Here is a 17,189-nt window from a genome sequence, read left to right on the forward strand (position 1 = left end):
TATTCTGCTTTGCATGATCTTAATTCATGTATCAACTGGACTGTGACCATTTGAAAGTGGCTTTATCTCTGGTTCTCTGGAACTCTGACTTGAAAAAGTAAATGAGAAATTAGCATGTACATCTGTTGCATTTCTTCTTTCCATCCTGCCCAAATTGTTTTAATTTTGGGAGCTAAACTTCCCGGATGCACTGTGACAGCATCTCTGTTCTTATTTCCAACCTCACCCACTCCTCTGTCAGAGCCTTTAGCAGAGCACTTTAGAGACGGTACCTTAGAAATATTATTTTTTAATAGAATTATCACCTTCAGGCCCAAACAACAGCATTTAATCAGCATTGCCATGATACAAATGATTCTGACAATCCTATAAAGTTATAAATAAGTGAACAAACTAGGTTTTCTCTTACACTCTACCTCATTTATTCAGTGTTGATCTACTCCTCCCACCCCCAACTCTCTACAGGCCTATACCAACCAGAAATCTGAGGCAACTGCCCCTTGATAGCAGGCTCTATTTTTGAAGTGAACAGAGTTCTGTTTTCATCCTTGAGCACCTACACACACCCTCAATATTTATTCATGCCTCACTTTATGTATATAAATAAATGCAGCACGTCTCAGAAGTGCTTGGGAAGGGTATGAGGCAGACAGAAGAAAAGTAGGAATTGCATCTCTCAGGATAAAGCAATCTAAATGGCTTGGTGATACGATTTCAGGAAATAGCTGTGTGGATTTTTCATTTACTTCATGGATTTGGAGTCCCAGGAACGCAGAAGCTGGGAAGAAGAGGACGCCTGAAAGGTCTGTTCTGATGAAGTCCTAGACCTCACTAGCAACTGGGGCTGAGTGGGGTGCACATCACTGTCTAATGGTCTAAAAACTAGGTCTCGCCTGTGCACAAGTGAGCAATGTAGAAACAAAATTATAAGGTCATCTTTTAAAATTCAGCTTTGATTGAAAAGATGTAATAAAGATTTGAATGTTGGCTCTTCTTGGTTAGTTGCTGCTGCTGAGGAAACATGAAAGAATAGGGCTCTGTTAATGCAGGTGCTTTAGGAAAGCAAATCCTGTGTAAGCCATTACACTTTATTTTCAGGTAAGGTTAGTAATGTTCACATTTGTTTCCAGAAAAGTTAAGCCTCTACTTTTTCATAAAGTTGAGCTTCTGTCAAAGGCTGTTAAAAAGGGCAAAGAGTTTTCTGTTACATCAAAATAAAGTTGCTTGTATATTTTAATAGTAGTTCTAGAGGCTTTTGACTTATAACCTGAGAGTATATGTTTGTTATCTTATTACATTTGTTAGCATACCTGTATGCTAAAATGTAAAACATTTTACATTTAAAATTATCAGTTATGTCTGGTATAGGGGTTTGAATTTACCCACAAGCTTTAAGTCACTGTGAGGTAACTACCTCTAATTCACTCAATTCATGTAAAAGGACTTTGCAGCTACTATTAAAATTAAAGTACTAGGCCAGGTGCAGTGGTTCACCCCTGTAATCCCAGCACTTTGGGAGGCCGAAGCGGGTGGATCACGAGGTCAGGAGTTCAAGACCAGCCTGGCCAAGATGGTGAAACCCCGCCTCTACTAAAAATACAAAAAAATTAGCCAGGCGTGGTGGCGGGCACCTGTAATCCCAGCTACTTGGGAGGCTGAGGCAGAGAATTGCTTGATCCCGGGAGGTGAAGGTTGCAGTGAGCCAAGATGGTGCCACTGCACTCCAGCCTGGGTGAAAGAGCAAGACTCCATCTCAATAATAATAATAATTAAAGTACTAGGCAACAAATATATTCTGCTTGTAAAATACATTTATAATTTTAAAAATTATTCATGTATAACAACATACATTTCCTGTGTATTAGTAATAATTCGTTAATAAATATAATGGGAAAGTCATTCACAATATAAGCAAAAATATAAAATACAAAGGATTAGTTTCTTTTTTTTTTTGAGACGGAGTCTCGCTCTGTTGCCAAGGCTGGAGTCCAGTGGCATGATCTCAGCTCACTGCAACCTCCGCCTCCTGGGTTCAAGCAATTCTCCCTGCCTCAGCCTCCCAAGTAGCTGAGATTACAGGTGCCCACCACCACCCCCAGCTAATTTTTGTATTATTTAGCAGAGATGGGGTTTCACCATGTTGGCCAGGCTGGTATTGAACTCCTGACCTCAGGTGATCTGCCCGCCTTGGCCTCCCAAAGTGCTGGGATTACAGGCATGAGCCACCGCGTCTGGCCCAATTAGTTTCTTAAATAAATGTGCAGGCAGGATTTGTAATGGAGAAAACAACGAATATTTGCTAAGAGACCTTAACAAAAAGCAAGAATAAATGGGGAGACATGACATGTTCCTAAATGGGAAGATTAAGTTATATACCAATGTAAATTCTTCCCAAAGTATCAAAATCCCAAAGGGAAATTTTAAAAGCCTGGCAATTTATTCTAGAGTTTATCTTAAAGAATGAACAGGAAAGAAATAAATACATTTTTTAAAATGAGGAATAATGAGGATACACTGATCTTGCCACTTATTAAATAAAACTTATTATAAAACTATAAGTTTTAAAGTATAGTGGTAAATCAAGAATAGACTGATATTTAAAAACAAAAAAGATAGTATGGAAACTATATAGACATACACATACAAACAATGCATAATATAAATGATGTACAGACAAACACATATATGAAGATAGGATGAAGGTGGTATATTCAGTGGAAAAATAATTGAATATTAAAAACTCAATAGTCAATAAAAGCTGCTAGAAAAACCGGTTGACTAGTTGGAGCAACTTGTTTTAATCCCTACCTCAAACTATACACCAAAATTAACATTAGATTTTAAAAGCACTTTAAAACTAATTGTGATAATCTATCCTATTTCATAATTAGAAAAAACTTCCTGTGCATAAAGACAATGGAAAAAAGATCACAAAAAATAAACAGCTCATACAAATAAATGAGAAACAGCAATCCAACAGAAAAAAAATAAGTTTAAAAATGTAAACACACAATTCACAGAAGAAGAAATTGCTAATGACATGAAAATACGTTTCTCCTCACTGGTGATCAAAGAAATGCAAACTAAAACCAAATAAGACACTGTTTTCTAAAATCTTATCAGACCAGCACAAATTTTGTTTTTTAACTAGTACTTCCTGTTGGATATAATATTAAGAAGCACACCCTCTCCAAAACAACTGATAGAAGTGAAAATCAGTACAAACTTTCTAGAAAGCAACTTTAAATTGTGTATTCCAGGCTTTGACATTTTCACACTATTTTACCAGTTAACTGAATTTTCTTATCCTAAGGAAATAAGAGGCTAAGTCAAAGTAATTTACACAAGTATACTTTTATAGCATTATTTATCATACTGAAGCCAATTGCTTGATAGGGTGACCATCTTTATCATGCAATATCTGGATAGGTATCATGTATCTAGTTTGCCTTGACATTCTCTATTTAAGCCTGGCATAATTATTAATAGTGTCTCACTTCACTCCTAAAGAGTGTCCCAGTCTGATCAGTAATGATGGGGCATATTCTCTGGCTTCTTTGGCCTGCGGATTATTATTATTATTATTATTATTATTTTTTGAGACAGAGCCTTGCTCTGTTGCCCAGGCTGGAGTGTAGTGGTGTGATCCTGGCTCACTGCAGCCTCGACCTCCCAGGCTCAAGCAATCCTCTCACCTCAGCCTCCCCAAGTAGCTGAGACTATAGGCAAGAGCCACCATGCCCAGCTAATTTGTAAAAGTGTTTTTTTAGAGACAAGGTCTCACTGTGTTGCCCAGGCTAGTCTCAAACTCCTGAACTCAAGTGATCCTTCCACCTCAGCCTCCCAAAGTGCTGGGATTACAGGAGTGAGCCACCACTCCCAGCCTTAGCTGGGAGGACCTTAATTGTAGCTTTGAAGAGTTTTTAAAAAACTCTACTTAAATTAATACACAGGGAAAGTAAGTAAGATTTTTTGAGCCCCTATTATAAGTGCCAGACCCTTTACATAAATTGTGCTAGGCCCATTCCATAAAATGCTTTGTTTAGTCCTTCCCTCAGGACTTAACAAATTAAGGATACTCCCTCCCATTCTACCGATGAGGAAATAAGGTCATAGAATGGTTAAAGTAACTTGCCCAATGTTATAAGGCTAAAGAGGTTAATTTGCATTTGAATTGGTTAGAAAGCCTTTAATAAAATATCTTCACATGCATGTATGTGTTTAAAATGATTCTTGATGACTCACAATAGGACAAGACTCATGTGACAGTTAAATAATGTCTGTGCTTATCTGCAAACAAGCAGATTTTCTGCATGTGGGCTCTACCAACGATGACCACTGCATTCAACAACAATTTTAGAGTCATGCAATTGTTTCTTCCTCAGCCCATCATTTCACCAGTGAGGTACAACTCTAGGGTGAGAAAGGGAATGGGAAAATATTCAGAAAGAAAAATTAAACTTTATATACTTACAGTTTGTATAGATGGGTTTTCGAAATGGCTTTCCCTTAGAAAAGATGAATGCTACTGTGATATAGTTGATGGTGGTGATGGGCCACAGTGTGGTGGTCTCAAAACTTAAAATTGAACCAGGAATCAGAGTTGCATTTCCAGTCCAGTTTCTTTCCAAACTCACATTTGTTGAAAAATTACTTTGGTTGGCCAGAAAACACTCACTACAAAAGAATCACCAGTGTTTATGAAACATTTGATTCCATTTTTGTCCATTAGGTGAAAAAAAAAATAATTTAATCACTACCATGGGATTTTAGCTTTCAAACTATGTCAGCCAGTAACTACCAAGACATACTTTGTTCACCTCTTGCTATGACAAAGCAGAAATAAAAGGAAGTCAAGATTGTTCTTTGTCTGGCACTCCGTTTAGAACAAGTGATCTACCTTGAAAGGGCCTGGATGACAATATTTTATGAATTCCTATCAATTCAAAGAGTAAATAGACCATGTCAATTAAACTGTGTGTGTGTGGTTTTCTCTTTCGTGGACTAAACAAGACTCCTAACTTGAGTTTTGAGTTTGAGTCTGCCACTCCTATTTACTTCCCTCAGATAGCTAAAGGATCTTCCTGAAAATCTGAACATGACAGTCTGCTGCTTATAAGGGGTCTACGGCTCTATTTTGCTGATAAATTAAGCTCAAACTTCTCCAACTGGCCTATGAGATCTTTGCATCCTTGTCTCAATCTACCTTTTCAGTCTTACCTTTTGCCACTCCTCCCATGCTCTATACACTCCAAACATATAGGATTATTCCCTGTTCCCCACGTATCAATTTGCATACCTGTTGGGTTGCATGTGCTATTGCCTTTAACTGCGATATAACATCCGTCCTTCAAACACCTCTGCATCTGAAATGCCTTTACTTTTGCTGGCAAGTGGTACTAGTGCCCACAAAAGTAAAGACATTTAAAAAAATGTTATCTCGGTTAAAGGCAATAACACATAGCAAGCTCATTGTTTTGCAATTCTTTATTTACATAATTTTATTTTACATCTTTGGGATGAGAGTTCCTAGAATATGGGATTTTTTTGTGGTTTTGTTTTTTGGTTTTAGTTAGATTTACAATAAATTTTTGGCACCTAGCAAAGTGAGGTCACATAATATTTACTCAAAAAATCTTTGTCCAAGATATGAGCTTTCCCAGTCCTGATTGATCTATTTCCAATGTTCTTTTTTTTCAATAATTAAACCTACAAATTAGTTTCCACCAGCTTTCTTGTTCAGCTTGAAACTTTTAAACCACTATTACAACTGTTTATAAATAAGATTCATTTTCTAACGTGAACTCAAATGCAAGACTTAATACTTATTATCCTGGGCTCCCTGTAGTCTAGAAATGCTTTTTGCACATACAGGCACACTTTGCTTTATTATGTTTCACTTTATTTTGCTTCCCAGATATTGCATTTTTCTACAAATTGAATGTTTGTGGCAACCTTGCATCTAGCAAGTCTATTGGCACCATTTTTTAATAGTATGTGCTCACTTTGTCTCTGTGTCACATTTTGGTAATTCTTGCAATGTTTTAAACTTTTCGAAATAATTACTACCTCTATTATTGTGATCTGTGATCAGTGATCTTTGGCGTTTCTATCATAATTGTTTTGAGATGCCACGAACTGTGCTTTTATAAGAATGCAAATTTAATCGATAAATATTGTCTGTGTCTGACTGCTTCACTGACTGGCTGTTTCCGCATCTCTCTTCCTCTCCTGGGGCCTCCCTATTCCTTGAGAGACAATAATATCGAAATCTGTTCAATTAATAACCCCACAGTGGCCTCTAAGTGTTCAAGTGAAAGGAAGAGTCACGTGTCTCTCTCTTTAAATAAAAAACTAGAAATGGGTAAGCTTAGTGAGGAAGGCATGTCAAAATCCAAGACAGGCCAAAAGCTAGGCCTCTTGCACCAGTTAGCCAAGCTGTGAATGCAAAGTAGGAGTTCTTGAAGAAAATTAAAAGTGTTATTCCAGTGAACACATGAACAATAAGGAAGTAAAATGGTCTTATTGCTGATATGAAGAAAATTTTAGTGGTCTGGGTAGTGGATCAAACCAGTCACAACATTCCTTTAAGCCAAAGTCTAATCCAGAGCAAGGCCCTAACTCCCTTCAATTCTTTGAAGGCTGAAAGAGGTGAGGAAGCTGCAGAGGAAAAGTTTGAAACTAGCAAGAGGTTGGTTCCTAAGACTGAGAGAAAGAAGGTGTCTCCATATGTAAAAGTACAAGGTAAAACAGCAAGTCTTGATGTAGCAGCTGCAGCAAGTGGTCCAGAAGATTTAACTAAGACAATTAATGAAGGTGTCTACACTAAACAGCTCTCAGTGGAAATGAAACAGCCTCTTCTATTGGAAGAAGATGTCTTCTAGGACTTTAATAACTAGAGATAAGTCAATAACTGGATTCAAGGCTCCAAAGGAGAGGCTGTCTCTCTTATTAGGGGCTAACGCAGCTGGTGACTTTAAGTTGATGCCAATGCTCATTTGCTCTTCTGAAAATCCTAGGGCCTTTAAGGATTATGCTAACTCTACTTTGCCTGTGCTCTAGAAATGGAACAACAAAGCATGGATGACAGCACGTCTGTTTACAGCATGGTTTACTGAATATTTCAAGCCCACTGTTCAGACCTACTGCTCAGAAAAAAAAGATTCCTTTCAAAATATTACTCTTTATTGACAGTGCCCCTGGTCACCCTTCAAGAGCACTGATGGAGATGTATAAGGAAATTAATGTTTTCGTGCCTGCTAATACACATCTATTCTGTAGCCCATGGATCAAAGAGTAATTTCAAATTTCAAGTCTTATTTTTTAAGAAATACACTTTTTAAGACTATAGCTGCCATAGAGAGTGATTCATTTATTGGATCTGGGCAAAGAAAATTGAAAACCTTCTGGAAAGAATTCACCATTCTAGATGTCATTAATAACATTCATGATTCATGGGAGAAGGTAAAAACATCAACATTAATGGAAGTTTGGAAGAAGTTGATTCAACCTTCTTGAATGACTTTTTGGGGTTCAAGACTTAGGTGGAGGATGTAACTGTAGATATGGTGGAAATAGCAAGAGAACTGGAATTAGAAGTGGAGCCTGAAGATGTGACTGAATTGCTGCAATCTCATGATAAAATTTGAATGGATGAAGAGTTGCTTCATATGGATGAGCACAGAAAGTGGTTTCTTGAGATGGAATCTGCTCCTGGTGAAGATGTTGTAAGCATTGTTGAAATGAAAACAAAGTATTTAGAATATTATATAAACTTACTTGACAAAGCATCAGCAGGGTTTGCGAGAATTCACTTCAAATTTGAAAGTACTGAGATGGGATAAAATGCTATTAAACAGCCTCACTTGCTACAGAGAAATATCTCATGAAAGGAAGAGTCAATCAGTGAGGCAAACTTCATCGTTGTTTATTTTAAGAAATTGTCACAGCTATACCCCAACCTTCAACAACCACTACCTTGATCAGTCAGCAGCCGCTCAGCTTGAGGTAAAGGCTCTCTACCAGCAAAAAGATTATGACTTGCTGAAGGCTCAGATGATCATTAGAATTTTTTAGCAATAAATTATTTTGAAATTAAGGCATGTACTTTTTTAGACATAATGCTATTGCACACTTGATAGACTACAGTATAGTGTAAACATAACTTTTATATGGACTGGGAACCCAAAACTTCATGTGACTTGCTTTATTGCAATATTCACTTTATCGTGGTAGACTGGAGCCAAACCCACAATATCTCTGACGTAGGCCTGTAGTAGATGTTCCATAGTCACAAAGCATTTTTACAAAAAGAGGAACAGACAGACTAGATGGCCTGAATTATAGAGTTTACAACCAAAGAGTATCTAGTCCAATATACTTACATTAAGGTAATAAAATTGAGGGCTAGTATGGCACATCTAGTTAGTGATAGAGTCAGGAATTCTTAGAATTCCTGATTTCCTATCCATCCTCTTTTGGCTACAACATATTGTCTTCTAGGTTCAGTCAAAACTTGAGTTCTCTGAGTATATGCACTCCAATTTTGGAAAAAATCTAGTGTTTAAACAGAATGAGATTCTATATTCCTAGTTATACTTAAATTGCCAAATTTTTTATCTAAATGACAATCTGATCATTTGCTAGTTTTCAATCTGTTTTACTGATTTCTGGTGCTCTGTGGAGTGAGGGGCAGTTTGCACATTTGCTATTTCAAAGAGAGCAGCTCTTTTCCTGCCTTTTCTTTTATCGGCAGAAAGACTTTGTCAGCAAAATAAAGCTTGAGCCATCGGCGCTATAGCCTACCACAAAAACATTAAAGCCCAGGGAGGTAAAGAGACTTGTCCTGATTCTAGTCCAATTCAATCAGAACAAGGATACCATCAATTCACATTTTAACTTTAACATTCATTTGGGAAAAAACAAAATAAACAAATCTCTCTCATATGTCTATATCAGTGGCCTGCAAACTACAGCCCACAGGCCAAATCTGATTCATCACCTGATTTTGTAGATAATGTTTTATTAGAATACAGCCACACCCACTTGTTTACCTATTGTCTAAGGCTGCTTTTGTGCTGCAACAGTGGAGTTGACTAGCTGCAACTGAGGCCATGTAGTGCACAAAGCCTATTTACTATCCGGCCCTCTAAGAAATGTTTGCCAACCCCTGGTCTATAAAATAAACAGAATACCAGGGAATATATTCATTCAGCCAACCAGTTGTTAGATCTATACATTAACAACCAGTGTGACAGATCTCTTCCCACCCACTCCACCCCAGTAGTCCATGGATTAACTGTGTTCTGTCCCATCATTTGAGTTTTGCAGCGACACAATTTGATTAATTAAAAGTTTTAGGATATATGTTCAAGCCAAGTTATGCAATGTCATTGGATATTTATTAAATTACCTTTCGAAAGCAGCACTAAGAAAATGAACTTACCTGTATTGGTAGACCTCACAATACCAAGGCTGCTGCTTCACATAGAGAAATGCACTGATCTGCACAATGCAGGAGAAACAGGAATTCAAAAATATTGAAAGCAGTAAAGGGGGAGAAAGGAGCTGTCCTGCTGGTCTATATGGAGCCAGCTTTGGGTAGGCATGAGTTGAACTCACTGAAAGACAAATACATTTTTTTCCTATTACAATCTTATCATTGAGAATAAAAGGTTGAGATTGAGATGCATATTATCTTGAGTCTGGCATTGGGATTCAGACTAAGCAAACACGAACAGAAGATTTACACCTAGGTAAGCACATTGCCTGGTGGCACATCCAGTTCCACCAGCCTTTGTCTCTTCCATGCTCTGTCTTCACCTTCAGAAATAAAAAAGTGGGTTAGGAAGTTTTGTAATTAATATATTTACCATATCGCATGGTGCAACTATTTCCTCCATAACCAGACTGACCAGAAATTGTGTGTAAAAGAGGGAAATGGCCTTGCTCGTGGGATAAGCAACACTAATATTGTGTCTCAGTGATGACAGGAAAGTGGAGAGTTAGAATGAGGAGAATAAGGAGGAATATAGCCAGATTCATCTTCATATGCTGGATAATTTAAAAAAAACACTCACTCTATTATTCATTCAGCCAACTTTCTCTGAGCATGTCAATGAGCCAGGCACTGTGATAGATGCTAGAGATGCATTAAGTATCTCTCTGGATACACAGGTGAATGGGGGACTGCTGATGTATGTTACATTAAGAAAAAGAACTCATGAAAAATATTGCTTCTAGATGAGAGTGTTAAACTATATTGTATTTTTGATTTCAGGGCTTTTTTAAATTTAAAGCGTTTGGAAATGGGCAGAAATTAAAAAGAACAACTATTTTAAAAAGACGACTACATCCTTAGTAGCTACATATATGAACATGCTGATGAAAATGAAATGTATTTGCTTCTCAAGGCAGAGCAGGAAGGAAGCATGAGGAGGACAGGAATTTGAATTTAAAGACTGATATTGTAGTCATGTTTCAGTTCCTGTCTTCATACCTGTCACCTCTTCCCTTCTCACAGCTTATCACTGGTTTGTTTGATGTAAGGGAAGAAGTGGGGTGTGCATATTTAAGTTTGTATTTATGAGTGTACAGGTAGAGTAGTGGTAAATGAGTGTCCAATGTGGGATGATAAAACTCTATAGTATTTCTTTGCTTTGTTCAATATGTGTTCTGGGGTAATCATGTAAACTCCTTGGTCCTTCATTTTCTCACATATAAAATGTGTTGGAATGCCTAAATGGTACCCAAAGGCCCTTTCAACTCTTTTATTCTAAAGCTCTATGACTAAGTCTTTACCTATACCAGATCAATCAATGTTTTCCCGGCAGGGTGCTGGGCTAGAGTCTGTGGGGTATGCAGAGATGAGAAGGACATTCCACCTGCCTTCAAAGAGTTTGAAGTCCATGAAAGACACAGACAGATTGTGTAATAAAGAAGCTGGCTGGCTTTTCCTGGGATGTATCCTCTAAATCTTTGAAATGCCCTCAGTGATAGGAGTATTTTTCTTATGCACGGTGGGCTTTGAGAGTTTATGCTAACAAGATGACTCATGGTGGGAATGAGGAGCGTTTGTGTTAAGATGACTCAGGAAGGGTCCTGCCAACGCCCAAAAGACCATCTGTGATTAGAGGGTTGGAACTTTGATCCACAGGATATCAGCCTGACCTCCAGATAGGGGAGTGGGGTTAGAGACTAAGTTTGACCTCACAGCCAATGATTCAATCAATCATGTCTACATAATGAAACCCTAATAAAAACTCCAGACACCGAAGCTCAGTTGAGCTTCCCTGGTTGGTAGTACTCTGCATATTGTCACCCATCGATGTGCCAAGAGGGTGAGGCATCCTGACTTCACAGGGAAAGGACAATGGAAGTGTCTCTCTTGTTTGAGACCCCTAATAGACCTTACCCTAGGTGTCTCTTCCTTTGGCTGGTTCTGATTTTTGTCTTTTTGCTATAATAAAACTGCAATCATAAGTATAACACTTTCCTGAGTTCTGTAAATTGTAGCAAATTGTTGAACCCAAGGGAGTAATGGGAACTCCTAAGTTTGTAGCCAACTAATCAGAAGTTCAGGTGGTATCGAGAGCCCCACACCTGTGGCTGGTGTCTGAAGTGAGGGCATTCTTGTGGAGGCTTTACCCTTAATCTGTAAAGTTTGGCCTAATTCTGGGTGGTTGGTGTCAGAAGCCATTGCTTGGGTCCACGAAGAAGGGGTACACAGTGTGGACTGTGATCAGGGCTCAGGAGAAGTGCAAGGAAATTGTGCTTTCAGGTCACAGAAGGCAGAGGCTTTAGTGCTTGGAGTTCTCTCTGTATTCCAGTATCCAAAGCAGAATGTAGCTATAAATTCATAAAGAGGCTGCAGGTAGTGGAGAGAGTAAAATTGCTTCTCTGTGCATCTGGCTTCTACCTCTTTGGTCTTCTCTCTCATGCTCATTGTAGTTTCTTGCCTTTCTTTTACACAGTAACTGTGGTAGACTGAATTGCTGGCTTCAGAGTGGTGGGGTGTATTTTGTCATCCCTTAATTTTGGGCTTCCCTGTGTGACTTTCTCTGGCCAAAGAGATGTTAGCATAGACTTCAAGCATGCTTGCACAGCCGGGCTTGCCCTGTGGCTCTGCTTTTTGTGACTCACAATGAGAAAATACCAAATCTGTCCGTTCAACCTGGCCTCAGAATGAAAAATGTGGAGTAGACCTGAATCAAATCCAAAAGCATTAACCAAGATCAACTGATCTACATACTAGAGCGGACTGGCTCAGCTGAGCTGACCTAGATCAGCTAAATGACAATCAACTTACAAACCCATGAATGGGGAGAATAACTGCCTGATGGTATAAATGCTGAGTTTTGGGGGTGGGTTGTTATGCAGCATTATTGAGGCAATACCTAATGCATACAGGGTTCTTATGCAGAATATTCTGACTTTTTCCATGTTAGAGACTCTTACTACTTCTGACAGAGAATCTGTATACCTGATTATAAATAAAATAATTTTATAGCTACCATTGTAGGACATCTGTTAGGTTCCAGAGGCTCTAATAAGTGTTTATAAACATGATTTTTATTTCCTTGAAAGCAAAGTAGGTAAATTTTACAGGTGAAGAAACTGAGGCTCAGAAAAGTAGTTTCCTTTGCTTAAAGACCCACAGTTAGTGAGTGACAGCATGGCACTGGAAACCCCAGTATTTCTGATTGTGAAGCCCTATGTTCTCCACTCTACAGCATATTGCAGTATGATGCATCTCAAAAATTAAAAGAACAAAATGGCAAGCCCTGCAATACAAGCTTGGACAGTAGTACCATTTATGAGGATCCCCCCATAAAACTTTTCTGCATTATCTGGGTTTCCTTAAAATGATGATGATATATGCTATCAGATTGCATTCAGAGGAATACTAACTTCTGAAGTGTTATATGGTATTCAAAATTAATCATTCTCCCTTCTGAGTTCCCACAACACATTACTCACATTGCTGCTATAGTGCAGGGTGTCTTGCATTAAATCTAGTTGTTTACATCTGCACTCAGCAGACTGTGAGCTCCCTGAAGGAAGAAATCCTGTCTCATTCCACATTCTGTTTCTTACTAAACCCAGCACAGGATCTATTGCATGGGAAGACTTCGCAGTTTCAAATTCTATTCTTATAGTTTTTAATTATTTGGCATCATTTGGCTATCTCGTAGTTGTGTTTCTCCTAAGTAGTTGGTTTACTTTTTATTCCAAACACTGAAAATCATATAAGACAAATTTCAGGAGGTTCATGAACCCACCTAAACTACATGCAGAATTTCAAATGGGTATCATGAGATTTCTAAGATGAAATGGTTTGTATTTTCCATCAGATTATTTAAGGGGACCAAGACCCAGAAAAGATTAGGAGTCATTGAAACACAGATGGGGTGTACGAGATGCACTTCTATAATGGGTGAGTCCCTCCTGCACCTCCTTCTCTGGATACTGCCTTCTCCTAGGGGCTGGAATGGCTGGCCTAAATGGATCTGAATTTCACGATCCCACCTTCATTCAGAGAAATGAGGGGCCTAGAGGTGGGCATCTAACCCACGTCAGGTCGATAAATTTTCTCTTCAAAATATTTGCAAATAGGACAATGAAAGGCTGAGCTCATTAGCTATAAGAAAACAAACATAAAGGCTGCAAAGCCCCAGTCCTAGTGTCATTTTATGAGGTCAGCTGTAGGGTGAATAAATGGAAGACAGATGGAAACAGTAAGAATGGAAAGAAGAAGAGACACAAGGTGGCCACCTGGAAATAAAGAAAGTGACCTCCATTTTTATCCTTTAGTGTTCTAGTCATCCTCAGATCCAGGTGCTTCCAAGTTCCTGTTCTTAGATTTTTTTGAGAATTATGTTCTTAAACAAACCCTCCCTCTATTTTCTTGATCTAGTTTGAGGAGTTCTTGTTGAAGAGGACAGAGATGTGGCAAAACAAGCTCCTTAAAAATGCCGCTACACAAAATAGAGTCAAATTGGACTTCCAGACATGCATTGCCTGATCAACATCCCTCCTCACTTCATCTTATTTCTCTTTTAGATTTTCTCTGTAATGTATTATATTTTGTCTCTGTACATTGCCTTAAAACCTTGTGGGAACAAGGCAGGGTGTGTATAGATAAATAAGTAAATAAATCAAATATGTGATGGTATTGTCTCTTCCCAGAACCAAGTCAGAGTTAAGGCCAAAAGCCTTAACCTGGAAACCTGGAAATGTAAGAAGCCGTAATGAGAATACAGATACTCTTTGATTTACAATGGGGTTACATTCTGATAAGCCCATTGTAAATTGAAAACATTTTTCAGTTGAAAATACATTTATGCTGTACACCTAACTTACCGAATACCATAGTTTAGCCTAGCCTAGCTCAAACATGCTCACAACGCTTAAGTAGGCTACAATTGAACAAAATCATCTAGCAACACAGTACAATGTAAAGTGTCTGTTGTTTAACCTCATTATTGCTTGGCTGGCTGAGAGCTGCAGCGTGCTGCCACTGCCCAGCATCCTAAGAGAGTATCATGCCACTTTCTTCTGAATATGCATCACTTTCGCACCATTGTAAAGTCAAAAACCATAAGTCAAACCATCATAAATCGGGGACATCTGTAATTTTACATTGATCATCAATTGTTGATGACTCCTAAGGGCTGCAGATAAATGTCCACAGTTCTCAGACCAGCAGTCAAGATTCTCTGTGATTTGACCCAATTCACTTTTTCAATTTTTCAATAAAAGATTTCACATACGCTGCAGTGTGGTCACATTAAAAGCTCATACCCCATATTTATCAGCTTTCTCTTGCTCATGCTGCTTCCTTCTACTTGAAATGCTCTTCTTTTAGCAAAAGATATTTGAAACTTATCCAACTTTCCTATTTTGATGTGAATGCTACTGCTTTCATGCCTCCATGCCTAGTATCTTTCTCCTTTCTCCACTGCTATCTCCTCCTTAACCCCAGATTATCGGAAGCCATCTCTTCTTCCTCTGGACTCCCAAAGCATCTGCTGTTTTCTGCTACTCACTACTTTCAACTTGCATCTTATTTGTTCATGTATGTGAATCCCCCACTGAACTCTGAACTTGAACAATCAGCCTTCTCATGCCTCAGGAACCTACGTGGCTAATATACAGTGAGAGATGAACACTTGTATAAGGGAATGTTGAATGGTGCTTCTCTTGTCTAGAAAATTGTGCCGAGCCTTATATGTGAGGACAGTGAATTGCAAGTGCCAATTTATTGTGAAGAGAGATTATCGCCATATCTCCATAGTGTCTAGCAAGAGAGATCCATATTGGTTATTTAACTATAAGCATGTCTGTTCCTGCCTCATTCGCTGCATGCTGTCTGTACAAGATAAAACTTATGGAGATTATCAAGCAATTCTTTAAAGGCAATTGTTAGGAGCAATGTAAACTGGTTTTCTTCTCAGCATCACCACAACCCCATGAGGGGAAGTCATAAGAGCCACTGTTAGAGAGACTGGAAGTGGTTTTAAGAGAGGATATTGGCCTTGCTCACTCCCCTTCATGGTAATAGCAGAGGGAAAGGGCAGGCAGCAGCGAGAGCAAGCTATTTACTGTCTGGTAGGTTAAGTAGAAGCCATGGAAATTAGCCAGGCTAGAGCTAGCTATCCTGGAAGGAGTTTATGAATGTGGCAGCCTGCTGGGGGTTGGAGGGCCCAGTAGTAGAAAAGGGCTTCATGGTATGTACCACTAGGAGGCAGCTGCAGAAAGGAATCCTGAGAAGTCAGAGGGAGAGAGCACCACTATGTCAGGGTGTGGTCTAGTCCATACCTATCCACAGGGAAGCTCTGATGAATTCACCAATGAACCCCGTGCCTATTGCCTAAATGTGGGTGTTGCCATGTTTGAGGGCATTTGACAGGATATTTTTGTGTAAGGTGTAAGGAAGGGGTCCAGTTTCAATTTTCTGCATATGGCTAGCCAGTTCTCCCAGCACCACTTATTAAATAGGGAATCCTTTCCCCGTTGCTTGTTTTTGTCAGGTTTGTCAGAGATCAGATGGTTGTACATGTGCGGTCTTATTTCTGAGTTCTCTATTCTGTTCCACTGGTCTCTGTGTCTGTTTTTGTATCAGTACCATGCTGTTTTGGTTACTGTTGCTTTGTAGTATAGTTTGAAGTCAGGTAGCATGATGCCTCCAGCTTTGTTCTTTTTGCTTATGATTGTCTTGGCTATTCGTGCTCTTTTTTTTTGTTTCATATGAATTTTAAAATAGTTTCTTCTAATTCTGTGAAGAATATTAATGGTAGTTTAATGGGAATAGTATTGAATCTGTAAATTACTTTGGGCAGTATGGCCATTTTCATGATATTGATTCTTCCTATCCATGAGCATGGAGTGTTTTTCCATTTGTTCCTCAGCAAACTAATGCAAGAACAGAAAACCAAGCACTGCATATTCTCACTTATAAGTGGAGCTGAACAGTGGGAACACATGGACACATAGTGGGAGACAAAACACGCTGGGGCCTGTTGGGAAGGGCAAGGAGGAAGGAGAGCATCAGGAAGAATAGCTAATGGATGCTGGGCTTAATACCTAGGTGATGGGTTGAACTGTGCAGCAAACCACTATGGCACATGTTTACCTATGTGACAAACCTGCACATCCTGCACATGTACCCTGGAACTTAAAATTTGCAGCAGAAAAAAGAACACAAAAATCATAAAAATAAGTCCTTTCTTCTTGTTGCTCTTCTTCCCCAGAAACAGGGGTGGAGAGTAGGTGACTCAAGGGAAGTGAAGAAGAGACCATGGCCTTCTCGTCTACTGCTTGCCCCAAGCCCATAGTTCAGGCTTAATGTAAGGGAAGAAAAGCTTTGAATCAGATGAAAATGTGAAGTAATAATTATAATACCTGGACTTTTCATGTCTAAGGATAAGATCATCTTAATACCTAGACTTGACCAGGAAATGACTAGCCTGTGGGATGAGTAAGTTTGCAGAGACGGGAAAACAATAGGATGTTTGCAGGTAGAGGGTAAAAAACAAACTAACAAACATAGCTGGTTTCTGCCTCTACTCTCTCCTTCACCAATCTCCCTGAGTTTAGCCCATTTACTAGCTACAGTCTGCTGAGTAATAATTAAAGTGCCGTCACTCTGATAGAATGTTATGCTTCTGGTCTATCGTCACCCTTCTGAG

At 38.8% G+C, this 17,189-nt stretch overlaps 2 protein-coding genes across 5 annotated transcripts in view; one reads left to right on the top strand and one right to left on the bottom strand.

Annotated features, from left to right (window-relative positions):
- PLAAT1 (phospholipase A and acyltransferase 1) overlaps positions 1–987 on the top strand; it is a 40,821-nt gene extending 39,834 nt beyond the window's left edge. Inside the window, exon 5 of the mRNA XM_011513035.3 lies at positions 719–987. Within this exon, the coding sequence (XP_011511337.2) occupies positions 719–725 (7 nt within the window). The 3' untranslated portion in view covers positions 726–987. The remainder of the gene's footprint in view (positions 1–718) is intronic.
- Positions 1–17,189, bottom strand: part of ATP13A5 (ATPase 13A5) — a 103,965-nt gene that overhangs the window by 5,651 nt on the left and 81,125 nt on the right. For 3 of the 4 annotated variants that reach the window (NM_198505.4, XM_047448075.1, XM_017006305.1), the window contains 2 exons: positions 9,446–9,620; positions 4,475–4,677 (listed from right to left, as the gene is read on the bottom strand). In NM_198505.4, coding sequence (NP_940907.2) covers positions 4,475–4,677; positions 9,446–9,620 — 378 coding nt within the window. Of the gene's footprint in view, positions 1–4,474; positions 4,678–9,445; positions 9,621–17,189 lie in introns of those variants that run through there. The other variant, XM_011512770.3, reaches the window with a different exon arrangement.

Source organism: Homo sapiens, chromosome 3, assembly GCF_000001405.40.
Source record: "Homo sapiens chromosome 3, GRCh38.p14 Primary Assembly".
In the NCBI taxonomy this organism is placed as follows: domain Eukaryota; kingdom Metazoa; phylum Chordata; class Mammalia; order Primates; family Hominidae; genus Homo; species Homo sapiens.